Source organism: Homo sapiens, chromosome 15, assembly GCF_000001405.40.
Source record: "Homo sapiens chromosome 15, GRCh38.p14 Primary Assembly".
NCBI lineage: Eukaryota > Metazoa > Chordata > Mammalia > Primates > Hominidae > Homo > Homo sapiens.
Window position 1 is genome coordinate 43,662,205 of NC_000015.10, and position 27,977 is coordinate 43,690,181.

Here is a 27,977-nt window from a genome sequence, read left to right on the forward strand (position 1 = left end):
GGACCCTAAGTCCAAGTCCCAGGCTATGCTATTCATGCATCAGGTTCTATTCTGGAGATGGCTGTGGCACATGAAGGCCAGAAGAGCTTGAAGCTAAATGAGCCGGCACACCCATGAGGCTCTGAATGGGAACTCCTGCCACAGGCACAATTGGGAGCCTGGGGGCAGGGATAAACTGAGCCAGCATAGGCTGGTCAACCTAGGGAGAGATTTCAGCAGTGCCTTGTGAAGATGTACAACCTGACTGGGCTAAAATCTAGCAGCTGTCACTTGCTAGCCAATAGGAGATTAGCACGTAGAGGTTTTCTAGTCAGGAAGCCAGCCTAGTTTTACTTCCCTCAGAGAGTCTTAGCTCTTGAATAGAAGAAAACCATACCTAAAAAACCTAGATTTACCCTGAAGACAAAATATAATACAGAGAGACAAATAAGGATACCAAGGATAAAACTTTGAAAGAGAGTGAGCCTGGGTTCTCCTGCTATACCCTACAAAGAGACCATACCCTTCAATTTATGGTTTACAGAGATCTCCAAGCTCTCCCACCTTAGTGTGGGCAGACCCAGTTCTTCAATGTTCTTAAAATATTATTCCTTCCTAAGCTCCCCCAGAATCCCCAGCAGACATCTCCACTCTTCAAACTTCTCTGCAATAGCTTTATCATAGGTAGGCTGGTGCCACATGGAAACTACACTTAAAAACTCAAGGTACAGTCCTTTTTCTTTTACCTACTACCTCCTACTCCTTTCTTTTTATTTTTATCCCAAAGCAACCTGGGCTCTTGTTTTCTAGGCCCAGGCAATAGGTTAGTAGTAACATAAAGCAAATGTCAGGAGCACAAGAGCCACACAAAATACACATAATGACAGGAGAAAGAAATACGGAGATGGGAAACTATATACTCAAGACTAACACCCATATAAGTAGGCTTAGGAGCTGGGAACTGCAGCATTGCTCCGAAAGAGGAACAAACTAGTCATCCACATCCACCCCAACAAGAGTTGGAGAAAACACAGAAAGATCAAAGTTATATCAGCTGAGGAATTGGGGGTATGGGGGAAGAGAAGAAATGGAATCAATCTAGGAAACACTATTCCCATCCTAAGAAGGGGAACCATCATATCTGTACACAGCCTGGCAGTCATGTGATAGGAAAGGGAGAGGTTTAATCAGTGTTTTGGTGGTGATGCTGACAAAAGTGACATAATGGTGATGATGGTGACTATGGAATTAAGACCCTGAGTTGCAGGGATGGGGCAGCCAGGCTGCAGCCAAGACTAAGGCTGTCACAAGGAAACCATCCCAGGAGGGACACTTAGTGAGTGACTCATTCAGAGACAGCAGGGTGTCAACACAGTGGAAGGAGAGGCAAAGTCAGTGTCGAAACTCAGAGTTAAGTGTCTAGAGGTGACATGGTGAGGAGGAATGACATTGAGTCAGAAGCAAACGTACCGTTAGTCGGATGCTTTGCAAACGACACAGAAAATCGTTTTACGGCCGGGACAAACAAGAGCTCTGGGGAGAAAAGACATCATGGGGATTATACCCACCCTTGTCCCCACCCTCTGCTCTGGAGTTTGCCCGCAAGATATTCTGTTCTTTAAAGTTAGTTATCTGACCTGCTCCCCTCCCCATCCCTTGGATTTCTAACTAACACACGTCAATCTCTTTTCCTTTGATAAATCTCTTAGGAATCAATGTGTCATCTCTACCACAATACACCCCTACAAACAACCCTAATTTTACCACTGTGTCTTCTTTCTGGTCATTTGGAAATAAAATCTTCACAGAAATATTCATCCCTTCCCCTAGTCTCTTTCCACATTATCTTTTCTCCCTTGGTTGAGTAACATTCCCTTCCCTAAACCCAATTTGCTGGATTTTAATCGAGGTTCCACCACTTTCTTCCCAACTATGCATCATCCTCCTTGGTCCTTACCCCTACAGGCCAGAATCCAGGAAAGAGTACAAACTGATGCAGCAGGACTGTATGTGGGAGATTATGAAGGGATAAGCATAAATAAGTAGTATTTTTATGGCAAGAGGAAATGCAAATGGAGGGGTGAAAGGGGTCCTGGTTCCTTCTCCCATCTATTACTGATGAAGAAAACTTGTTATAAGGCCAGTGTCATCTTAAGCATGAATAGTTCTTGAGCTATGTCCTTGCTGAGAGACAAGTGAAAAAAGGAGTTATCCCCCAAAACCCACCCACATACCATCTCGGTGCTTCAGACTGGCAGGTGGTAGCTTTTTGCCATGGCTGCGGGCGTAGTCCTGAAGATTCGGGGCACTGGAGGAGCCACCCAGCACTGTGGTGCTGAACAGCCCTGTGCACTGTGAGCCTGCAAGGCCGGGAGTGCGTTAGTAGCCACGTAAAGCCACAACTATCACACAGAACTATACACAACTTCACATGATAACATCAAGACACACATGCAGCCATTCAGAGCCACCACCATGTGGCCATTCCACATAACCACAAATGGCTTTACACTTCTCCATAGTCACAGTGGGCAAGCAAAAGGGGGATTCTTCTGAAGAGCTACATGGCAGAAACAACAGGCCACTACAAATGCAGGGTTAGTCATATTAGGGGATTCAAAGCTACTGGAAGGGATAGACTGTGCTCTTCAGGTGGCTCTCAGAAATGCCAAAATAACAGGTAGGTCCCTCTAGATTCCCCTCAGATTTAATTCGGCACCCCTTACCCTGGATATATAGCTTGAGAAACCCAGAAATCTAGTCCTTGTATATTTGAAAGGAAAAGGCTTTGACTGAAGCTAGAGACTATATTCTGAACACTCAGCTGGCACCCTTCCAATCCTTCCTAAGTTTTTCATCCAACATCCCCTCCCTTCAGGCCTTTTGACCTTTCCCAAGAATGAAAGTATGAGGCTCACAATTTTTTTTTTTTTTAAGACAGGGTCTCACTCTGTTGCCCAGGCTGCAGTGCAGTGGCACAATCATAGCTCACTGCAGCCTTGGTCTCCCAAGCTCAAGTGATCCTCCCATCTTAGCTTCCCAAGTAGCTGGGATTGCAAGTACACACCATCATGCCTGGACAATTTTTTTATTTTTAGTAGAAATGAGGTCTCACTATGTTGCCCAGGTTGGTCTCTAACTCCTGAGCTCAAGTGATCCTCCCACCTTGGCCTCCCATAGTGCTGGGATTATTGGTGTGAGCCACAGCCCCCTGCCTCATTGAATTTTTTAAGCTAGAAGGGACTCATAGATCATCCAGTCCAACTTTCTTATTTTAGAGATGAAGAAACTGAGATCCAAAAGGGACCTCCTTTGCTCAAGGTCACATAGTTTTTTAGAAGCTAAGCTGGACTAGAATCCAGGTCTCCTGACTCTGAGGACCAACTGTATTGTTAGAAAATAAATAACTATTTTTTTTTAGGAACCAGCAGTTTCTAAAGTCAAGATGGACACAAATTGAAGGGCATGTGAAGAATCAGTTGATTATATGTAGAGCATGCCTATTATGTGAGGAGCACCCTACTAAGAAGGAATACAGGAAATAACAACAAAAAGACATGTTTGTTCTGCTTGCAAAAGTGTATTATCATGTAAGCCTATGCTCAAAGCCAGTTGCCCACACATATAAATTCTAAGAAAACAAAGAGAATTCCATTGCCAATGAGAGGATTAAATAAAATCTGAATAATCTCTGAAGTATGAAATAAATCAGACCAGTCACTGTCCCCAACAGCTGATCTAGAGGAGGGTTAGGACTCCACGGTCCCTTCTCCTACTATAGCCTATAAGGACAGAGTGGTCAAGAAGAAACAAGACTGATACCCAAGTTCTCAGGATTTGCCTCTCTACTTCCAAATCCATCTTAGCCAAGACCCTGGGTTTGGCTTGGGACTTAACATTCATAGGGGAAATGGATGGAGTGGAAAGGAGTTCAATTCCCTTGAGGCCACCAAGAAGGGACCATGGTTTCAGGGGTCCCAGGATTTCGGGGTCACCAGAGCAATCAGGAAGTTCAGATGCCTGATGATTCCCACCCTGGAATTCAGGACCTCTCCCCTATACAGCAACTTCCTCCACCTTTCATGTTCAAACAGGCTCTGGAATGAGATTCCAGAGAGTAATAACAGTTGCTAAATATGACTGCTTTTCTTCAGAGAAGCTAAAACTAGCTGGCTCTATCCCAGACCACCCCAAGCTTTGTCCTACATACACTTCCTCCACTGAATACTTTTCTGGTGCAGTCATGCCAACTCTGTTCTGCCCAGTCCTCAGATCATCTCAGAGGGTGGTCTCTACCTTACCACCACCATCTGCCAACCAGTTCCATGTCCATACCTCTGCCTTGCTCTTGAAAGCATTCCCACGGCCCACTTAACTGGGACAGACACACCTATCCTCTTTTCTAGTCTGTCTGAAACCTATTCTTTACTGGGACTTCTGGGAAGAGAGGTTCATTTCTTAGATCTACACTATTGTTGTTTCGGGTTTTTTTTTTTTTTTTTTTTTTTTTTTTTTTGAGACAGAGTGTCACTCTGTCACCCAGGTTGGAGTACAGTGGCACAGTCTCAGCTCACTGCAACCTCCATCTTCTGGGTTCAAGCAATTCTCGTGTCTCAACCTCCCAAGTAGCTGGGATTACAGGCATGCGTCACCATGCTCAGCTAATTTTTGTATTTTTAGTAGAGATGGGGTTTCACTATGTTGGCCAGGCTAGTCTCAGAACTCCTGACCTCAAGTGATCTGCCTTCTTTGGCCTCCCAAAATGCTGGGATTATAGGCATGAGCCACTGCGCCTGGCCAGATCTACACACTTGTCATTTATTTCTCATGCCCCATACCATCTTCCTCATTTCAGGAATCTAGAAGGCAACTTATTCTCATAAAATTAGCCTGGAAAGTTACCAAAACCTTTCTCCCCCTTGCTAGTCCAAAAGCTGACCATTTTGGGGCCAAGAAAATGGCTGCCAAGGACAAAGGCAACAGAACAATTAGAGGCGCTAAATAGAGAGAATAATAGGACAAGACAGAAACAGCCAGAGGACCAAGACCAGACCCCACACAACCATGTCTGACCTCCAGTTCTAATTACTGGCTCACAAGGCACTGTGCTCAGAGATAGTTCCTCCCAAGGACTGCCCCCCACCCAAAGAATACAATACCCTCTGAGGCTTGGTCCTTCCTGCCGTCTGTGCTCTTAGAAAAAGCTGAGTGATGTTCTCTACCCCTTTCCAGGGATCCAAAAATCAAGAGACATTTCCTCAAAGTCCTGAGAGATGCCTCTGCCACTACACCAGTCTCAGACTGGTCAATTTTCCAGAAGGAAGGGGAAAAAGTTACAGGATTAGGAGATGATGGAGGAAAGGGCAAGGTGGTAAGAAGGGCAAGAGCGGGGATGTGAAAAACACAGGTTTCAGGGGAAGACGTGGCACATTTCTTCAAATGAGGAATACGACATTTATGAGGGTTGCAAGTACCTCTATTTATAGCTCTGTCTTTGATAACTCTGAAGGTTCAGAGTCTCCATGGCCCCTTAAGGTCTGGGCTAGACTGGAGGGACAGATAAGGAATGAGAGGGAAAGCCAGAAAAACGCCCTTTGGCCAGGGAAATGTGGTTGGTATAGAAAACCAAGAGATAAACACCTTCCTGGGATGGAATAATCATCTGAGATCCAAGTTCACATCTAACTATGGCTTCTCCCACTTCATCCTCCCTACCTCCACCTGATGATATTCCACTGATTGGACGGTCCCAAATCCCATGACAAAGGTTTCCCACAATAAAACTCTGAAGAACAGACAGACAACTTTTCCAACAATAGGTGAGAAATGCTGGCAAAACCATACCTAGGCCACTCTGCTTCATTTCTGTGGGTGGCCGTGAAGATGAAAAGAGCCGGTAGCCACCAGGCCTCGAGGATGAAGTCTCAGAAAGTACCTGCAGAAAAAGGACTCTATATTAATCATTTTGCCACCTCAACCCCAAAGTATAAAACTCAGGTCCTGGATTCCTGTCCCTACAAAGCCAAGCAATGTTAGAAAGTTTGGAAGTACCAAAGGATTTATAGGGGAAGAGGGATGAAAAGGGAACAGAGAATGTACTTTATGGAGGGAACTGTCCGGGGCATCTTTCTATACTAGAAGGCACTTCTATTTTCAAGATGCCTTTCCCCACAGCCCTCCCATTCCCAATCTGAGTTTGAGAAATCATTATTCAACCCATTCCTAGTTCTCAGCAGAGCAGAGTTTCCTAATTGTATCTATCCCCCCACAGACTCAGAAAGCCAATCACAATGGCTCAGCCACAGATAAGAGTCTGGCCACCCTCTCTTCTTTGCATGGGAGAGCTGTGGCTACTGCAACCATACTACATTCCTTGTTAGAACCAAGAAGCCCACCCCTCCACTGTCTCACCCCTAGAAACATGAAACAGAATTTTTACAATGCCCACAAGGGCCCAATCACACAACCCCCAAAACACACACATCCCACCCAGATAGTGTCTGAGCCCCTAGATCCCAAAAGGCAAAGACAGAAGGCAAGACAGGAAGGTGAGGTAGGGAGGGACACCTGTGTGCAGGATGCCAGGTGAGTGGTGGACACAGCCCGGGGCTGTAGGCCAATGGCTAGGGAAGGCTGGGGGAGGTCTCCCGACCTCCTGCAGCGCCGTCCCCGCAAGGGGATGAGGTCCAGGTTCCCCGTGCACTGCATGTTCATGACCTGCAATCAGACCGGGTGGAAAGCCGGTCACGGCTCCTTTAAACCCCAGGCTCCCAAAAGCCCCAGGGCCCACAGGGCAGAGCTAGTTACAGGGCTAGAGAGGATGACCAGCTAGGGCATAGCTGCTATAAAGGTCGTAAGTTTTATAATCTAAAATAGTTAAAAAGTATGAGATGACAAGAGGAGAAGAAGGGATGGAGGGAAGGATAAGTTGTATGCCTATATTTATAGAGCAAGGAAGATAAACATTAACATTAGTATCATAAGGCTTTGTGACCAAGGAGCAGAGAGATGATTTTCTTGCAAAGCTGAGGAAAATATCCTGGACAACCATCACCCTGGATAAGCCAGGGTCTAAGCAGCACTAGTAATTGAAAAGAAAGCCTGTGATTACAATAGGAAGCTTCCCATAGGCCTGAAAGAAGTCAATCTTATCAAGTCTGAGAGATGATACACAGAGCTTTCCTTTACCTGTGCCTTTTTTTTTTTTCCATCTTATAATGTTTTAAAATTTTTTGTAGAGACAGGATCTTGCCATGTTGCCCAGGCTGGTTTTGAACTCCTGGCCTCAAATGATTCTCCCACTTAGGCTTCCCAAAGTGTTGGGATTACAGGTGTGATCCACCACACGCAGCTGTCTATGTCTTATGACTGCATAAACCAGAAAAAAATGGTTGGGGGATGGGGGACGCGGTTCAGGCACAACAGCACCAGGAGAGACTAGCAGACCATGTGAATAGGAAAGACATTTGGAGGATCAGTTTATTGATGGAAGATTATGTATCATTCTATCCATGTGATCTATTGGATGTGAGTATAAAGGGTAATAGAGTACTACGGATACCAACCGACACCTACACCTCAAAGAGAAAATAATGTATATCCTACCTAAAGAAACTCTGCATATTACCAATGGCAATTTCACCTTAAAATAATCAGGAAGTAAAGGATGAATCAAAAGAAGAGACTGCAGTTCATCTTCTCAGCTTTCTCCAAAATCTGAATTGCAAAACTTTTGCTGAACCTAGGTCAGCTTGTTATAGATTCTTCTGATATATCCCTAAAATGGAAAAACCAATTCCTCTAAGATAGAGACCTGGCACCGAGCCAGGGTGAACACGGTCATTAGGACAGAGCAGAATCTAAATCAGACAGTCAAAGTCTCTGAGACAGGGATAAATTGTGGTGTCAAAATGAATGTAAGTGATACAGAAAGAGCAAGATAGGGGAAAAAAAAAAAGGATATAATTAGGCCAAAGACAGAAACAGTTTTTCCAGGAAAAAGACCAAAACAAAAACCTCAGATGGTTAGCTGGACACAATATGAGATTAATAACACTTACTGCCTTTAGGCTAGAGAGCTAGAACCAGAACTAGAAACAACCTCCAAGAACAGCAGAATATAGGCCCATGCTGATAAAGATCCTCATTAGAACAAGAGGAAGACAGACAGAGCTCTTGACTGACCCACTTTCTGGAATGACAGTACAGATAAAGTGCCAGGTATTTGCTCCTATCTGAGCTATAATTTTTACCCAAGGTGACCAAGAGCTGGAGAGGGCTGGACCTTTAATATCAATTGCATTGTTAATATATTACTGCTTGTTGAGCATCTATAAAGTGGATACTACTCACATTTTAGAGGTGAAAAAAAATTGAGGCTTAGAGAAGTTAAGGTCAGAGAAATGTAGAGAAGTTACCCAGCCAAAGTCACACAGCTTCCAAGTATTACACTGGGATTTTGGCCCGGAGTTCAAGCTGTTTCCACTAGATTTCCTTTTAAAGAACTACCTTTTCAAATTCATCCAGAGGCCTCCTCCTTAATCTTATCTCTTTAAACCCTTATCTCTCAGGCATCCCTCAATGGCAACTCTTTAATCTGAGAAGTAGCAACCAGTTAAAGAAGCACTACTGGGAGACCAGCTGTGAAAGAGAGATTAAGTAAAACATATCAATCAGAGCAGGAGGACTCTGCTTCAAGTCCCAAGAGACCCCCCAAGGGGATCTAGTGGATCTGTGGATATAGTCCTATGAGCACTGCCACCCCTTCATTTCTTCCCAAGGCCCTCTCATTACCTCCATGGAACCAGCTTTTCGGTTACGAATGAGGGGTGATCTCCTCGGAAGGCCAGGGCCCTCAGGAGGCTGGGGTGAAGTCTGCAATGCCCGGTCTGGTTCATCTGATGCCTTTCCTGGACACAGGTTCTCCATACTGCCTTGGTTGGTTTTCATCTCCTCATTCTATACAACAAAAGGCAGATAAGAGAGGTGTTAATGGCCTCCAAAATCCTAATCCCAGACTACCTAGCCCTTTTACTTCTCCCTGTACTGCTTCCCACCACTTGGTTCCTAAGTCCTTCAGTCCCAAATCCCAGCACTCTGACCCACCTCAGAAGAGGCTGGACGGAATCCACAGCCAGCCGGGGCACTGCCTTCTTCCTCAACACCTTTCACTCCGGGGCTGAAGTGTAGCTCCACATGGAACCGTTCCTCTGATAAGGGATCCTATGGAGCATAACCACAAGAGGGGGAAGTTGGGAGAAGCTGGATATTGTGGTGGAAGTAGAGAGGAACTCAAGGGGATTCATCCTCCCAGGAATTCAGGGTCTTGTCCCACTCCGGGGCTGACCTGTTATAGCTTCCTTTCAACTATATATTGTCTCTTACAGGATCCTCATTCCCTCATCTCTACCATTTGTGATTTCACCATTGCACATGACTTCTGAACTTCCAGCTTTACAACGCTTCCCATCACCTTCCACAATAACTCAGCTTGGCTGTGGTGCATATAGCAGAACATTTAAAGATACCTTGTGGGCCAGGAGCAGTGGCTCACACCTGTAATCCTAGCACCTTGGGAGGCTGGGACAGGCAGATCACTTGAGTCCAGGAGTTTGACACCACCCTGGGCAACATGTTGAGACCCTATCTCTACAAAAAATTAGCCGGGCATGGTGGCACATGTCTGTCATCCCAGCTACTTGGGAGGCTGATGTGAGAGGATCACTTGAGCCCAGGAGGCAGAGGTTGCAAGGCTGCAGTGAGCTCAGATTGTAGCACTGCACTCCAGCGCGGGTGACAGAGTGAGACCTTGTCTCAAAAAAAAAAAAAAAAAAAAAAAAGTATCATTGTGGAGCCGTATGCAGAAGGTATATGTATAACCATGTTTGAGGAAATAAGACTCATAACATTGTCCCAAATTCCATACTCTTCTAATGCCAGAGCTGTGTTCTAGGTTACCTCTCTGGCTCAACAACATCCCAGAACATATTTTCCATTCCAGTAGGAACTTCCTGGATGCTCTGTGTCATGCTGTGCGTAAGTGCCACACCTAGCTGGATTCTCCAAATTATAAGGATAAGCAAGTTTTTTTTTTTTAATAGAATTCAAAAGAAGGGGCCTTCCTCTCATCTCCCACCTGCTAGCTCCTCACCTGTGTGTTGTCCTCATAAAGCATGATGACAATCTGGGTCATGTAGTTAAGCTCTGAGATGGCACTAAGATAATCCAAAGCTCGCTGCCATTGTGCATCCTGGGTCTCCTACCAAATGCAAAAAGAGGTAAGCCATTGCTTAAGGAAATGGGAGTCAGAGAATGAGCAGGGAGCCAATGAGAATGGAGAAAGCTTTCATTTGAGAAGAGTAAAAGAATGCTGGGAAAAAGCTGTTCACAGGCTAAAGAAGAAGGAGGATCCTTACATCAAGAAGTCCTCCATAACGGAAGACACTGAGCAGGGAGTGGACATGGCTCTCACTGGTGAAATAGAGACGCGTTCGAACGTGGCGACCTGGGGAGAGCACGCCTCGGGAGTACCTGAGATAACAGCTAAATCACTCACACAGTCAGTTAACCCTGTTCCCACCCTTCTGCAAACTCCCTCCTCCCACCTCAAAGACTTCTCTCCTTTCCATCCCAAAATCTTGTCTATTCTTGGTTCCCCAGGCTGTCCCAGCTTTGATTCCCCCAAGGCTCCCTGACATGCCCCTCCCTCCATCCAACACCCCTCCCAGCCCTCCCTCACAGGGGATGCAGCTTGTTGACAGACTCATCCTCGTGGGTTCTCTGCAGGTCAAGTAGTATCTTCCGCAACAGTGGAAGACAGAAGCCCACAGCAATTTCCAGTTTCTCCTCCCGACTGATCCCGTACTCCTAGGGGCCACAGGCCAGGAATAAATACCTCAATAAATCTTGTTTTCTCATGCCTCATATTCCCAGGACCAAGATCATGCCTGTCTTCACCTCACGTCTAGGGCTTCTTTCATATCCACTACATTCCCCCTCTTCCAGGTGTCTCCTGAATTAGCCTCCTGTACTTACCAAGAGCCAGAGTGGACCCTGAGAAATGTAGCAACTCAACCTATTCCTTCTCTGAGTTGCTTTCCTCTAGTCTCAAATCACCCTTCCTTTCCACCTTTTCTCTCTTTCCTTCCCAACACCCTCATCCCCAGGCTAGGTCCCTTATACAAGACACACCTGGGGAATGACCACATCAGCCAGTGCCTTAGAGAGACGGAGCAACTCTGCTGTGCCTTGAAGTCCCAGACTCCCATTGTGCTGCACATCATACTTGACACAGTCATAGATGTCAGGGATCTTACTGATATCATAGCGCCCACTCTTCTGTCGAAAGTCACGCTCCAGCTTGCTCCAACGCTGTAGCATTAGCTCTAGTGTCTCACTGTGGTAGAGCTGCAGGTCTGGAAGAAAGGCAGGAATCAGATAAGAATCAAAGATTTTACCTCCAACAAAAGACCCTGACAACTCTGAAGTACAGCCAGAGGGAGGAGGAGGCCTGGTCTCTGACATTTAGGAGAGGACACCAGAATGCCTGAGAAACCCATCCATACCTGAGACCTTGAAGGGAAGATAGTAGTATTCATACCCACCTACAGACCTGGGGTCCTGCATTCGTTCCCGGATCTGGTGGGTGAGGTTTTCGATCAGGGCAAATACCTGATCACAGACCTTCACAGGATTCTGGATGATAGTCATGGAGTTGAGCAGGGAAGTACTTCTGGTGGGAGCCAGCTATGAAGAATAGAGAGAAGAAAAGCAAGACAGGCTCGGCACTAATTGCCCAGATTCCTGTGAGTTTATTACACAGAGACTACTCACAATACAGCTCTGTATGTTGGTTCACTCCAGTGAGCATTCTTAGGTTACTGGGCATACTAGCAGTTCTAGGCCTTCAGGTAAGGGCACTGCTCTAGCATATAGTCGTCTAAGAGGGATTGATTTTAAGAGTCCAGAGAAAATAAAACAGACCTAAGTTCTTTTCTTGAGGGCTCTAGAATACACATGGAAAATACTGGAGAATAAAGATTGAACCAAAATCCCTCAAAATCTCCACAGAATGTTTTCATGAGTAGAGATCACAGATAACATTATCTTCTTCCTCTAAACAAGATGCTAGCCTGAGCCTAGAGTAGAAATGCTGCCTCAAAACTGGGTTCTGACTCAGGCTTGTAGGACAGTAACAGTCAATGAGAAATGTGGAGGCAGAATCAAGACTGTGGCTGAAAATGCACAATTCTGTTTAGGTCCTCACAAGTTTCATTCTTGCTCGCAAAAGAAGGCAAGGCAGAAAGGAAAGCTGCCTTAGCTTTTTTGAGTTTGACAGTGAGCAATGGATTGGGAAATAAAGGAGCAAGGTCCTGTTCCTTATCAAGTCCTACTCAGAGAACACAGAAAATCCTATGGGCTCACAGCAATGTGCTTAGCTACTTAACTCATTTAAGAACCAATCAGAAATGTTACACAACAATGTAAATACATGTAATGCTACTGAACTGTAAACTTAAAAATGGTTAAAATGGTACCACAATTTTAAAGTTTTAAACATTTTTTTAAAAGAACATATCAGAAATGAGGAGTGGGAAGAGTAGAAAACCACTGCCTGGTCATTTGTGGCCTAGATATGCAGGAAAAAGAACGACCATATTGGGTAATGGCATATAGTGGGATTAATACTATAAAGCAATGTAACAGCCTGGGCGTTGGAGTTAGACCCCTTCGGTTTGTATTAGCTGGATGACATGAGGAAAATTGCTTAGATTCTTCTGAGCCTAGGTTTCCTCATCTGTAAAATGGGAGGAAAGTCCTTGTGGTCTACAGTCCTTGTAGTGCTTTAAAGATGACCATCAATTCTTTGTCTTCCTTTCCTTCCCTTCCCTTAAATCTGGCTGGCCCTGTAACTGTTTAACCAATAAAAAATAACAAAGTTATGTTGTGCTATTTCTGGGCCTACACTTTAAGAAAGCTTCTAAGCTTCTGCTTTTGAATATCCCTAAAGCTACCATTTAATACATCTGGCTATCATGCTACGGAAACCATATGAAGAACCATGTGGAGAAAAGAGGCACTGAGGTTACAGGGAGAGCATGAAGAGGGAGAGAGCCAGCCATCCCACAGTCCCAGCTGAACTTCCAGATGGTTCCAGCTCCAGTCAATATCTGACTGCAATTTCAGGAGAGACTCCAAGCAAGATCAGATGAGCCCAGAACTGTGAGAGATAATAAAATGGTTGCTGTTTTAGGTTACTACGTTTTGGGGTAGTTTATTATGCAACAATGGATAACTGAAACGTTCTTTTGTTCAGGATCCTTGGGATCAGAGCTGTGCTTTGGAACTGAGAATCTGTGGGACTTTAGAAGTTAATACAGTACATATGCCATATGTATATAATACCTCCATCAGGGCCCATGGCATAACCAAACACATTAATATTTCTGCCACAAAATGCACGACTATTTACACTAAGTGGGAAAACTAAGGATTATAAAAGTCTTATGACAGTTCGTGTCAGGTTTAGCTGCCAAATGAATCTCAATGTCAAGAAAAAAATCTTTTTAATTTTCAAAATTATGCATAAGAGATTGTGGACCTGTACTTATCTCAAAGGGTTGCTGTAAGGATTAAATAATATATGTGTAAAATAACTAAAACAGTGCCTGGCATGCAGTAAATACTGTTATTATTGATCCCTACTATTTAGAATTCTAGGAATTGGGGATCCAGGCTATTTTTGAGCCTGACCTGATCGTAGTCCTCAGGGCCAAAGGGCGCATCCTGCTGTAGAATATGGTGCAGCCGAGCCTTCACCCGGTGCTGGCAGCTGCTCAAGGAATCCCCATCGCTGTCCAGTAGCCCATTCATGTTGGCACTCTTCACCATTTGCACCAAAATGGGTGTCAGCTCCCCTTCTAGAGCCAGAAGGCCCTAAAGAGAAAGCACAAGGTCTATTTGTTTCCCTTGCAGGTTAGCATCCCTAGGCCTAGATGGTCCCAGGGATCGAACGGGAGCTGGTTGAAGAGATGGGGCCTACCCTCACTAATTATTCTCAGCTCATTCTCGGTAGTACAGAATGGGTCCGATACATGCAGAAACTTCTCTGAGTTGGCCTACAAGCACCCTGAAATGCTCCAACTGGTTCTCCAAACTCTCTGCTTCTCTACCTAATGGAAACTGGGACTACAGAACTGTAGTATGCACCTTGGCGAAGGCAGCAGCAGTCATCTGAACACGACCCTCATCAGAGGCATAGATCTTGAGATCGTGGCGGAAAGTGCTATGGAGACGAAGCAGCCCACAACCAGGGAAGCCAGCATAGTCACCTGGGGACAAAGGTGGGGGACCACAAATGGACTGCTATAAATACTCGTGGAAGAAAAAATATTCATTCCCCCACTGTCTCTGTCCCTTCATTTTCCCCAACTTACTCTCTAATCATTTTATCCTGGCCCTGCTATGCGTTCACTCCCCAAAACACTCACCCTGTCCTCCAGGGTACATGCAGCGAAAAGCTCGCCCCAGCTCCTCAGCCTGAACACGGCCAGCAGGAGTCAGTTCTCCACCCCACTTCAGTACCAGCAACAGAGATGGGGCCAGAGTTTCCCTCTGTGGATCTGAAGGAATAAGAGGCAGTGAATGGTCTAGATCTAAGAAAAATAGTGGGAACATCTAAACCTTAGGTCTTCTGAGGAGACCAGAGATGTAATTTGGGGTAAAGGTCATCTATAGGCTCAAGAAAAAGAGATCTTGTGGGGAAAGAAGATGGACAAAAAACATAAAAAGAACACAAGATCTGAGAGGTAGTGGTAAGGGGGACTACATCTTACCTTGCCCCTCATTAGAAGCTTTTACTCCATGAGGGTAGTAAGTCAATTGTACCTTCCGGTTTATACCTGAGAAGTGACCATACCTGCAGGATAAAGTCACAGTTTATGTTCTGTTCCAGCACCCCAATTCTCACTGTTATTGGCTCCCTTTTGCTATCCCCTTTCTCACATCTCCAGTACAGACTTCAGCTGCTCTAGTTTTCCAGTCTTCTCCTCGATCTCACCACCTGGTTCTTTCTCCAGTTCAGCCAACAACAGCCTTGTGATATCCAGCACCTCCTAGAGGAAATAATAAGGTATCCATGCAGAAGGCCAAGTCCTAGACAGTTACCTTTCCATCCTAGTCTTTTATCAAGACTCCCAATGCCATATCCTCTATCTCTCTCATGGCACTGTTCCTCCTGGTCAGATTCACTACCTTACCTGGAGCTGCTCAGGTCGCTTGAGTTTTAATTTCCCTGTCTTGTAGCCACCATGTTTTTCAAACAGAGCAAAAAACCTGAAGAAGTAACGAGAAGCTTCAGTGTGGCATGAGACAGTCAAAGCCTCCAGGACTTGCCCCCCATGCAGTCTTCCTCACAAAAACCTATTTATGTAAATTAGGACACTCTTCTGACCTTGGGTGTTTCACTTCCATCTTCATCTTCTGCTTGGGAGTACGATCCCCATGACGAATAATTGCAATGACACAACGAAGTTCCATCCTAAGATCATAAATGTTATCAGAGCCTCTCCCACACCCCCATCCCACCTGCTGTCATCACATTACTTGACATGTCAAAAAAACAGAGGGGCTGAGCAGGGCTCAGGCCTGTGATCTCAGCACTTTGGGAGGCTGAGGTGGGAGGATCACTCAGGCCCAGGAGAAACATAGGGTGAGCATGAGCAACATAGGGTGAGTCTGTCTCTATAAAAAAAGTTAAAAGAAAAAAAATTATCCAGGCATGGTGCCACACGCCTGTGGTCCCAGCTATTTGGGAGGCTGAGGTGGGAGCATCACTTGAGCCCAGGAGATAGAGGCTGCAGTGAACCATGAGTGCACCACTGCACTCCAGCCTGGGAGACAGAGCCAGATCCTGTCGCAAAAAAAAAAAAAAAAAAAAAAAAAAGAAAGAAAGAAAAAGAAAAGGGAACTGAGATTAGGAATATAAATGGAGGCTGGGCATGGTGGCTCATGCCTGTAATCCCAGCTCGTTGGAAGGCCGAGGCGGGTGGATCACTTGACGTCAGGAGTTCAAGATCAGCCTGGTCACATGGTGAAACCCCATCTCTACTAAAAACACAAAAATTAGCCAGATGTGCTCACCTGAACCCAGGAGGTGGAGGTTGCTGTGGGCCGAGATCATGCCACTGCACTCCAGCCTGGGCAACAGAGCTAGACTCTGTCTCAAAAACAAACACAACAAAACAAAAAAAACGGCGGGGGAATATAAGTGGAGTTAAGAAGACTGTGTATAAGAGGCCTAGGCTCCGTTAGTCAGATAGTGTGGGGTCAGGAAGTAACCATTAGCCTGGCTTAAGGAATCCCATGGGTCTTAAGTAGGTTACTCCAGATTTTTTGCTTTTGCTTACATAGTGCCAGATGTGGTGGGAACAATGGGAATGTCCTCAGCCTCCGTGGGGATGGACCATGGAATCTGGAACTGTGGGGCAAGCTCCCGCATTATGGTGTTCCTAGAAAGAGAAACAAAGAAGCCCTGTAAAAATGAATAAACCAGAACTACTCAGAGGAATGAAGCTCACAAAAACAAGCAGGCTGCAGGCAGAAGAATACCTTAATATAAAGTCTAAAAACATACAAACAAATACCCATATTTATGTAGTACAAATATAAATAAATACAAGGAATGACAAACACCAAATTATGGATTGTGGTTCCCTCTGGGGATGGGGAGGGGATGTTACTAGGGAGGAGTACATAGGGGCTTCGATTATATACACACACACACACACACACACACACACACATACACGTATGTGTACATACACACACGTATGTGTACAGTTTGTGTATATACACACATGTATGCGCATATAGATACACACATATGTGTATATAGATGCACATATGTGTATATAGATGCACATATGTATGTGTATATATACATATATACGTACATATATACACATATATACATATATGTGTACGTGTGTGTGTGTGTGTGTGTGTGTGTGTATATATATATATATATATTTTTTTTTTTTTTTTTTTTTTTTTTTGAGATAGAGTTTCACTCTTGTTGCCCAGGCTGGAGTACAATGGCATGATCTCAGCTCACTGCAACCTCCACCTCCTGGGATCAAGTGATTCTACTGCCTCAGCCTCCCAAGCAGCTGAGATTATAGGGAACCACCACCACGGCTGACTAATTTTTTTTTTTTTTGGGTTTTTTTTTTTGAGATGGAGTCTCACTCTTGTCACCCAGGCTGGAGTACAGCGGCATGATCTCGGCTCACTGCAATCTCTTCCTCCCGGGTTCAAGTGATTCTCCTGTCTCAGCCTCCCAAGTAGCTGGGATTACAGGCGTCCACCAATATGCCTGGCTCATTTTTTTTTTGTATTTTTAGTAGAGATGGGGTTTCACCATGTTGGCCAGGCTGGTCTCGAAGTCCTGACCTCAGGTGATCCACGCACCCTGGCCTCCCAAAGTGCTGGGATTACAGGCGGAAGCCACTGAGCCTGGCCAATTTTTTGTATTTGTAGTAGAAACGAGGTTTCACCATGTTGGTCAGGCTGGTCTCAAACTCCTGACCTCAGGTGATCTACCCGCCTCGGCCTCCCAAAGTGCCAGGATTACAGGCGTGAGCTACCGCACCCGACCTATATTCCTAATATTTTATTTCTTAAGCTAGGTGGTGAATACATAGATGCTCACTATAGTCATCATTCCTCATATATTTCTGAATGGTTTATACATTACGTGACGAATTTCTTGGAAAGTCAAGTTGCAGAGCAGTATTATAGTATGACCACATTTAGTAAAAGAAATACAGTTTGGATATGGCAGAAAAAGATAAATTGTTATGTCTAAAACTGTTAACAACAATGGTCTCTGGGAGGGGCAGTGTTAGAAAGGCAAGGGCTACCGCACCCGACCTATATTCCTAATATTTTATTTCTTAAGCTAGGTAGTGAATACATAGATGCTCACTATAGTCATCATTCCTCATATATTTCTGAATGGTTTATACATTACGTGACAAATTTCTTGGAAAGTCAAGTTGCAGAGCAGTATTATAGTATGACCACATTTAGTAAAAGAAATACAGTTTGGATATGGCAGAAAAAGATAAATTGTTATGTCTAAAACTGTTAACAACAATGGTCTCTGGGAGGGGCAGTGTTAGAAAGGCAAGGAGCCTGAGGAGCCCTTCCTTTCTTATTTTTATTTTTTTAATTTAATTAATTAATTAATTTATTTATTTATTGGGACGCAGTTTTGCTCTTGTCACCCAGGCTGGAGTGCAATGGCACTATCTCAGCTCACTGCAACCTTCACCTCCTGCGTTCAAGCGATTCTCCTGCCGCAGCCTCCCTAGTAGCTGGGATTACAGGCATGCTCCACCATGCCTGGCTAAGGTTGTATCTTTAGTAGAAACAGGGTTTCACCATGTTGACCAGGCTGGTCTCTAACTCCTGACCTCAGGTGACCCACCCGCCTCAGCCTCTCAAAGTGCTGAGTTTATAGGCATGAGCCATCGCGCCTGGCCTGCTTTTTCACTTTTAAATCATATTTGTGATATTTAAAATAAAGCAAAAACTTTCAAATATTCTTCTGTAAGCCCATTCTCCCCAGCGCAGACCACTATGTCTCTTACCCCAGAATCTTGGCACAGTCATCGTAGTATTTCATCGAGTTCTTGACAAAACTAAAGCCATTGACATCACACACAAAGGAATGACCATTGGCACGAAGAAGGTCAAATCCACAAACTGTTTGCTGCAAGGAAAAGAAGAAAGATGAGAACAAGACAGTTACTCTTCCCGGACCCCTGTTCCTTCCTTTCTCCCTCATTTCACAACCTCCCTGGGCCCTCCTCTACCTTGAAAGCTACGCAGACTTTCCTGGCCACCAGCTTTTCCATGGCAGTCAGCATGACTGGATATTGAATCTCTTTCCCCTCACTGTCTCGTTCAACCTTCCCATCCAAAGCTGGAGATTTTCTAGCTTCAGCATGGGCATAATCTGGCCCCACTGTATACACCTGCAGGTACATAGCATCACTGAGTATGCCCACAGCTCACCCTGTATATGAGAAGACAATATGAGCACTAGGTCTGTAGACGAGTTTCAGAGTAAAACAACAACAACAAAAACAAAACAAATCCTGAGCATTAAGGAGACTGACCAACATTTTTCCTACTGAGCCTTACTGAAGTATCATTATGAATTTCTCCTCGGGACTCCACTACTGTCAGGTAGTCCTTATTAAAAAATAATTTACAAACATTATACCATTTTTCTAAGTCAGCCTTGCCCTTGCTCTGATAGTGAAAATGTGAATGTCTGTATCCTCCACTCATTATCTTCACCTGAATATGAAAGCCAATCACATTCACATCATGTTATTTTCTAGGACCTCCTCCCCATATACTTCCACCTGCTTCCCAAGTACCCCATCCCCACCCACACATTTGTAACCTCTTAAATCCCTATATCCACCATAACCTTGACATCTGTGCCATCTGTTGGCATAAACTCCTCATAGATGTACGACCCCGTCTTTCGGACGCTGCTCTCAGGAGAGTAAACACTGCTTCGGCTGCCAATCTTCAAGAGAAAAAAAGAAGAAAAAGCAATGTTGCCTCAACTCTCTGTTCTGTCCCCAAATTCTCCATCTTCCTTCCCCACAACCTCATCCTTGCCCTTGCACCTCTCTGACTCCCCAGATGCTCAAATATCCCCCCTACCTTACGAAAGAGACGCTGGCTTCCTCCTCCAGCTGAGCTGGGGTAGTAGATGTAAACATTGTGGTCTTCTGCACTCACTGGCTTCTCCACAAAGGGCTTGGGAAAGACAGCTCCATTGACCTCTACTTGGTCTTCACCTTCTATCAGGTTGCATTCTGAAAGGTGGATGTGTAGTCATTCCTATGGCCTAAGGTTGTGGAATATTACTAATTCTCATTTCCCCAGGTTTTCATCTCTATAACCCTCAAATTTTTATGACTATATCTTTGTAATAGATGAGGTAAAATCTCTATATAACAGGTCCAACCCTCTGTCCGAAGACTCATGGCTCTAACCCCACCCATAATCCAATAACCAAAACCCCACATAGATAGGTGGTATACAGGAGATGTCTAGAAGATGGAAACGTGGCTAAGTCATAGAAAGCAAGGAAAGGCAGGACTAACCCTCCCTCAGGCCAGGTACTCACCCTCAGGCCGGGCAGGATCACGGTTGAGCACAGCATATCGAGGCAGATCAATACCCTCTTCCTGCAGGATCCGGTACACCTCCCTCCTGTCACCCCCAAATAAAATAGCTGGGAGAGGTGGGAGTAACTAAGGGGAGAGGCTGGGGATTTCATTTGCACAGGATTAAAAGACACCAGGGCACAAAATTATGGTACAAAAATTAGGCATGTTGGTTTGACTCTGCCCCTCTCACAGTGGGTTCCCCGAACACGCATGATCCCAAAGCCACCCATCTCACTGGTCAACAGGAAGTTATACCTATCTTGGATGTAATACTGCATGGCCAGATCATTGATAAGAAAGGGGTTTCGAAGCTTGGAGTAAGCAACAGCTTTGTCCAGAGGAAAGCCTGGGATGGAGACAGGAAATAAAGAGACCAAAGGAAGGGAGAGAAAGAGAACGAGAAAAGAGCAAGAGAGATACAAAGACATATTAAAGCTATTAGCTGCCACTGAGCTCCTCTACCCATTCAACCCATCACTTATTCTTCTTCCCAGCTCCCCAAGTCTAGGATATTTATCAAGAAAAAGTAAAACAGAAGTTATTTTTACAGTCCTTCCAGAGACCCAATTCTGTCAGAGATCCTAAGACACTTAGAGTTGTCCTGAGGTTAGACTATAGGCTTTAAACCCCCGGCAACTCCTCCAAGATGTAGGGAAAGCAAACTCCTTGGCACCATTCTCTAGTGTGTCACAAGTAGCTGACGGCTCTTTACTAAGGAAATAAGACAATAAGAACCTCATTTCCCGAACCAGTATTCCCACCACCATTCCCTCCCATTTTCCTTCATAGACCCCAACCTTTGGAGTGGAAAGAGATGAGGCAGTGGCAGGATGGCCAGTTTTCCACAGGTTCATTAAGGATTACATCTTCTCCCAGAATGACAACAGTCAGGTAGTCAAATCTGCAGAGTCGCTCTAGGATTTGAGTCATTGGCTTGGACTTGGATTTCTTGGTCATGGCACAGATGCCAACAATGATCTGAGGTTCAGGAGGCTACAGAGAGGAAGTGCTATCAGAAACTCAAGAACTTCCCACCAATATCACCCCCTTCTGGGAACACTGTCTTATCTTCTTAGGGCACAGAGTTTCTTGCCAGGACTCTGGACCTATGGGATAAAGGGTGCCTCCTAACTTTGATCGAGGTTGAGGCACAGCTAGGGATTCCAACTGCCTACAGAATAGGAGCCTTTCCACAGTAGGAAATATGTGCTCAAGCAGGAGAGCTAGAGAACCAACAACCATGAGACGACAGGAAGATCCTAAGGGCAGGGGTTTCTTTTTTTTTTTTTTTGGAGATAGAGTCTCACTCTGTCGCCCAGGCTGGCATGCAGTGGCACGATTTCTGCTCACTGCAACCTCCAACTCCCGGGCTCAAGCGATTCTCCTGCCTAGACCTCCCGAGTAGCTGGGATTACAGGCGCCCACCACCACACCCAGCTAATTTTTGTATTTTTAGTAGAGACAGGGTTTCACCATGTTGGACAGGCTGCTTTTGAATTCCTGACCTCAAATGATCTGGCCGCCTTGGCCTTCCAAAGTGCTGGGATTACCCACGCCCGGCCAGGGCAGGGATTTCTAAGAGAGGCAACCTACCAATCTCTACTGCCCCTCCCCTAAACTAGGATAGGGCCTGTTTATGACAGGGAGTCTATGCATTCGGAAAGAACAGAGAGGTATCTCTAACCAATAGAATCTTAACTCTTTAGGACAGAGGCTCCAACCCCAAGTTACATCATTTTCCCCATTCTTACCACTTCATCCTCCTCATCCTCAAGGAGCTCGCTGTCACTCTCTTCTGGCCTCATGCCTATTCCACGGGTGCCCAGCCCCTCATCTCCAGCTCCAAGGAAGAAGTGGGCCGTGGTACTCTCGCCCTCACTGGCCGTCAATGACCACATCCCTGCCGGAACACCCACTCATCCCGCTCTGCAGAGGGGGGTACCCCATCAGCTCAGAACCCAAGCCCCCTGGCTGTGGGTGGGGCTGGGGATGGAGATGAAAAGCATAAGAGGGAACTATAAGGGGAAACAAAACAAAGCTATAGGAAGAAGGATCAACAAGAAAGGAGGCATATGGGCTATGACTTGAGATGCTAAAAGAGCCATAAAAGAAAAGCAAGGTATCCCTTTTCCTCCCTGCTCACCCCACCCCAACCAATAAATTAGTAAGAGGATCAGATAATCAGCCCTTACAATGCCGGCATGTCCCTGATTTGGCCAGCAAGAAACATTAACTTCAGGCAGCAAATGGGAAAGGCAGGTCCTCGAGGAAGGCTACTCTTGAGTCCTACCAGAAGAGAAGGTTAGAGTGACATTTCAAACTTTGGACTCATTTCACAATGTTCCTAGCCCTTTTCCACCTCCTCACAGTAGTGTTGAATTCAGTAATTTAATTCAAAGGCAGAGGAATGAGAGAGCTCAGCTGCCTTTCCCCTTAAACCTCTTCTTCATTCTTCCCAAAGATTAACTCAAAAAATATTTATTGAGGGCACCCTACATTCTAAGCATTATATCAGAACATTAAGGCCAGGCACACTGGCTTACACCTATAATCTCGGCGCTTTGGGAGGCTGAGGAGGGTGGATCACTTGAGTCCAGGAGTTCAAGACCAGCCAGGCAACATGTCAAAACCCAGTTTCTACAAAAACATTCAAAAATTAGGCAGGCATGGTGGTGCATGCCTGTAGTCCCAACTACTTGGGAGGCTGAGGCAAGAGGATCATTTGAGCCCAGGATGCAGACGTTGCAGTGAGCTGAGATCACGCCATTGCACTCCAGCCTGGGTGACAGAGTGAGACCCTCTCTCAAACCAAAAATTTAAAAAATAATAAAACCCCCATGCTCTCTCTCTCCTTCATCTACTCCACCTTAAAAGACAGTTGCACAGCCAGATACCATGGTTCATCCCTGTAATTCCAGCATTTTGGGAGGCTGAGGCAAGAGGATCGCTCGGGCTTAGGGGTTTAAGACCGGCCAGGGCAACATAGCAAGACCTCATCTCTACAAAAAAATTTTAAGGCTGGGTGCAGTGGTTCATGCGTGTAATCCCAGCACTTTCGGAGGCTGAACCAGGATGACTGCTTGAGCCTCGGAGTTTGAGACCAGCCTGGGCAATATAGGTAGACCTGACCTTTACAAAAGCTTTTTCTTAAATTAGCCATGCATGGTGGCACGTTGCCTGTGGTCCCAGCTACTTGGGAGGTTAAGCTGGGAGGACTGTTTAAGCCCAAGAGGTCGGGACCGCAATGACCCGTGATTGTACCACTGCACTCCAGCCTGGGCGACACAAAAATACCCTGTTTCGGCCAGGCACGGTGGCTCACGCCTGTAATCCCAGCACTTTGGGACGCCGAGGCGGGTGATCACGAGGTCAGGAGATCGAGACCATCCTGGCTAACACGGTGAAACCCCGTCTCTACTAAAAATACACAAAAAAAATTAGCCGGGCATGGTGGCCGGCTCCTGTAGTCCTAGCTACTGGGGAGGCTGAGGCAGGAAAATGGTGTGAACCCGGGAGGCGGAGCTTGCAGTGAGTGGAGATCATGTCACTGCACTCCAGCCTGGGCAAAAGAGCAAGACTCCGTCTCAAAAAAAAAAAAAATACCGTTTCAAAAGGAAAAAAAAAAAATTTCTTTTCTTGAGATGGAGTCTCGCTCTCTTGCCCAGGCTGGAGAGCAGTGGCATGACCTCAGCTCACTGCAACCTCCACCTCCCGGGTTCAAGCAATTCTGCCTCAGCCTCCCGAGTAGCTGGGACCACAGGCACACCCCACCATGCCTGGCCAATTTTTGTATTTTTTTTTTTTAGTAGAGACGGGGTTTCACCATGCGGTCCAGGCTAGTCTCGAACTCCTGACCTCATGATCCACCTGCCTCGGCCTCCCAAAGTGCTGGGATTACAGGCGTGAACCGCCATACCCGGCCAAAAAGTTTTTAAAAATTAGCCAGGCATAGTGAGTGGCACAAGCCTGTGGTCCCAGCTACTCAATAGACTGAGGTGGAAGGTTTGTTTAAGCCCAAGAGGTCAAGGCTGCAGTGAGCTGTGATCGTGCCACTGCACTCCAGCCTGGGTGAGAGCAAAACCCTGCCTCAAATAATGATGATGATAATAATAATAATAATAATAATAATAATAATAATAATAGAAGACAAATGCCCAAGTTCAGAAAACCTGTTCAGGGAAAGAGGTCTAGTGTGGTTGGGAGGTTGAGAATACAGGCATCCATACAGTAGTCTCCAGCCCACTCTCAAACTGAAATCTCAATGTTCTCTCTAGTGTCCCCTGGTACTATAGAACCAGTGCTAGTCTAGGCCAAGGTCCCTCACACCAGGAGCTACAGTGAAAAAAAAAAAAATCCTGCCTAAAACTGTACCAGTAAGAATATCTTAAGACTTTAACTTGAACCAGCAGTTCCACTTCTGTGTACACACAAGTAATGTAGTTGTTCTCAACCAGCTGTGATTTTGCTACACAGGGGACTTTTGGCAGGAGACATTTTTGGTTGTCACAATTGGAAAGGTACTATTGGCGTCTAGTGAGTAGAAGCCAGGGATACTGCCAAACATTCTAAAATGCGTAAGATATCTCCTCACAACCAAGAATTATCCAGCCTTAAATCTCAGTAGTGCTGAGGTAGAGAAACCCTGCTGTAGAGAAATTCTCCTACATAAGACTTTTGTGAGGAACTTCTTAATCCTCTTCATCTCTCTGTTGGTAATGAGAAAAACTGAAAACAGTTCAGAGGTTACAAGTAGAATCCATAAATATAATGTCATATATAGAAATGATAGACTAATAGCAATGTAAAAATAAAAGCTATATGTAATAAATGGACAGTTTCCAAATACAAACTGCAGAAATATACCTGCAGTACATCGCTATTGTATAAATACAAATGTTACATATGGTTTATGACTGCATATATAATTAGTAGAAGTATAAAAACAGGGACTGGAAAGAAAGACATCAAATTCATGATAGTGGTTACCTTTGAGAAGGGAGAATGGAACTGAGGATTCAAATGGTACTCCACAACCTTATCTACAATGTTTATTTCAATTGTAAAAAAGATCTGAAGCAAATACACAGGTTAACATTTGTTCCTATGAATTGTAAGGATATGAATATCTGTTATTATTTTCCAAAAATAAAAATTGAGTCACACATCAGCAATTTTCCGTGGTCTCCAAAAGTTCTCAGAAACACTGACCAATGACTCTAGTGAAAGCCACAAACTCCTTAAGTAAATGAACTTGTCTTACAGAAATAATATCTTATATATGTAATTAGTCTCATAGATTTTGAAAACAGTCTTGAACAATTATTTTCTCTATCTTTATTTCAAACTCTTTCATTACAACTGGGGTTTGCAGTTTTGACTAGAAAGTTCTAGCTGACCACCAGGCACAGTGGCTCACACCTGTAATCTCAGCATTTTGGGAGGCCAAGGCAGGCAGATCACTTGAGGTCAGGAGTTCAAGAACAGCCTGGCCAACATGGCGAAACCCCGCCTCTACTAAAAATACAAAAAATTAGCCGGGTGGGGTGGCGCACGCCTGTAATCCCAGCTACTCAGGAGGCTGGGGCTGGAGAATCGCTTGAAACCAGGAGGCAGAGGTTGCAGTGAGCCGAGATCACGCCACTGCACTCCAGCCTGGGCAACAAGAGTGAAAATCCTGTCTCAAAAAAAAAAATAAACAGAAAGAAAGTTCTAGCGGACCTTTATATAGACCTCGACCTCTCGACCTTTCCAGTTTTCATTATCTGCTGTCTTTATTTCTCAACTGCCACGGGGGTGCGACATTCTCCTTAGGCTTAATATTTCTAGTTGTGCACTGCAGGTCTCACACACACACTCTTACCCCTGATAAAAACGCTATTTTTTTGAATTCCTTTTCAGTGACCTGACCCAATTTCCCTGACTTGGGACATTCCCAAGGTCCCTGTATAGTTTGAGCAAGTAGAATTTTGTTGCATTCTTTATCTTCGCTCTGAAGCCGGGACTTTCTCTCAACTCTAAGATTCCTAACCCTTTGCCCTTTCTTCCATTGAGTCCTTCCTCGTTTTCCACTGAATGTACACTCATGTTCTTGAAATTCTACTGCAACTACATAACGGGGCATGGTAACTAATAGAATAGGGAAGAGACTGTTTACAAATATGTGGCTGAAGAGAGACGAAAGGTCTAAATTCCCAGTTAACAAAGCAAAAATAGAAGCCTGACAGAAATAGCTATGAAATAAGCCAGGATTTATTTAGATGCACCTCTGGGAGAAGATGGGCTTTAATGTGGTGTTCCCAGAGCCGCTTCCCTGTTTTCCATGCTCTTCTCCCCATCCGCCTCTCCCCCAAGCTTTGTTGTGAAAGAAAAGAAAACTTCACACTCCACACTGGGCTAAAGGGCAGTCTTACTCTGACAGGAATCAATGTGAATGGAAGGAAAGAAGCAAGGAGATAGGCGAGTAAGGTAACGAGGGAGGGGCAGGCAGGCAATCTTCTCAGGAACATCTATGTTAGATCTGGAGAAGGGGTAGAAGGGAGGGTAAACGGTGTAACTTCTTTAACCCTTAGAATTTAGGGCTCCTTGCATAGTCATCTAATTTCCTAAATCACTATGCACTTGATGGTGGACTCCATTGGTAGCGAAGAGGAAATATCAATACAAATTCCAGGCAGGAATACTTCCAACACAGAAAAACTCCTCAGGCCACCAACACTATTTTCTGCCCACCTTGAACAGTGGACGCCTCACTTCCTTCTTAATGCAATTTTTAATTCTTCAGACACACTCCTCATTCCGACTCTGATCAACTGTGCTCCTCTCCCTGTTCTCAGTATCAGCTGCTTCGTTTCGCCTTCTTTCCCCAACTTGCTATGACTCTTGCCCCAATACTGACTGCAGCCTCCCCATCCCACCCCGCATCATTGGTCAACTAATTCCATTAATCCAACTAATCCTCGCACTCACTGATTGCCCAGTATTAAACTCCTTCACCCTCTCGCACGAGTCATCATACTTGGTAACATCTTTATATTGACCCCTCAGTGACCCCCCACAATGACGACCTGCCATCCATTCTTTCCTCACATCACCCCTCCCTCCAGGCTGTCTTCTCTCAGCCGCAACCCATTCCTCAAGCTACCCCCTTCCTCCTGGACTCCAGCCCCACCCCTCCTGGCGCAGATCCCTTCCACCTTGATCCTCTCCCCTGTACGACTCCGCTCCTCCATCCTCCCACAGGACCCCCTCTTCCTCACGCAGACCCCCACATACCTATCTCCTCTCCCGCCGACCCCCTCCTCGGTACTCTCCTCGCACAGCTCCGGGTCACGAATACCGCCCTCGCATCCCGACTCCACTAGCCTTTGCCCGCCCCCGCCTTCGCCGCCTCACTCTCCCTACGCTGACACTAAGGCCCCTCCGCTGGGCCTCTTCCCAAAGCGGAGCCCACCCGGAACGAACCCCAGCCCTGGGAACCCACCAAGCCCACTCTACCGCGCCCACCCGGTCCGATACCGCCCCCAGCCCCAGCCACTCCCCCACCGCCCCCGGCCTTCACTCACCCGCCTCCCTCCGCTCGCGCAGCCGAACCTGCAGGCAGCGACACCTGACAGCGGCCCAATCAAAGCGCGACTTCTTTGCGGTTCCACCAATCAGCGAAGGGCGCGCACCGGTAACAGAGTCAGGCTGCGTTGGCCGGCGCTTCTGCGCGGAGGAGCGTGACCCCTAGTGGCTCTGGGA

At 45.6% G+C, this 27,977-nt stretch overlaps 2 pseudogenes across 1 annotated transcript in view; both read right to left on the reverse strand.

Annotated features, from left to right (window-relative positions):
* PPIP5K1P1-CATSPER2 (PPIP5K1P1-CATSPER2 readthrough) overlaps window positions 1–27,827 on the reverse strand; it is a 59,470-nt pseudogene extending 31,643 nt beyond the window's left edge. Inside the window, exons 1-28 of the transcript NR_146339.1 lie at window positions 27,800–27,827; window positions 22,430–22,523; window positions 21,989–22,252; window positions 21,035–21,230; window positions 20,493–20,583; window positions 20,195–20,280; window positions 19,726–19,880; window positions 19,484–19,585; window positions 18,858–19,019; window positions 18,633–18,754; window positions 16,386–16,487; window positions 15,431–15,517; window positions 15,237–15,312; window positions 14,983–15,092; window positions 14,814–14,896; window positions 14,469–14,600; window positions 14,188–14,309; window positions 13,732–13,914; window positions 11,583–11,724; window positions 11,170–11,393; window positions 10,718–10,845; window positions 10,395–10,509; window positions 10,130–10,237; window positions 9,085–9,201; window positions 8,773–8,937; window positions 5,824–5,914; window positions 2,214–2,339; window positions 1,450–1,512 (exon numbers count right to left, since the gene is read on the reverse strand). The product of NR_146339.1 is annotated as a PPIP5K1P1-CATSPER2 readthrough (transcript). The remainder of the gene's footprint in view (window positions 1–1,449; window positions 1,513–2,213; window positions 2,340–5,823; window positions 5,915–8,772; window positions 8,938–9,084; window positions 9,202–10,129; window positions 10,238–10,394; window positions 10,510–10,717; window positions 10,846–11,169; window positions 11,394–11,582; window positions 11,725–13,731; window positions 13,915–14,187; window positions 14,310–14,468; window positions 14,601–14,813; window positions 14,897–14,982; window positions 15,093–15,236; window positions 15,313–15,430; window positions 15,518–16,385; window positions 16,488–18,632; window positions 18,755–18,857; window positions 19,020–19,483; window positions 19,586–19,725; window positions 19,881–20,194; window positions 20,281–20,492; window positions 20,584–21,034; window positions 21,231–21,988; window positions 22,253–22,429; window positions 22,524–27,799) is intronic.
* PPIP5K1P1 (diphosphoinositol pentakisphosphate kinase 1 pseudogene 1) lies at window positions 1,441–27,881 on the reverse strand (annotated as a pseudogene).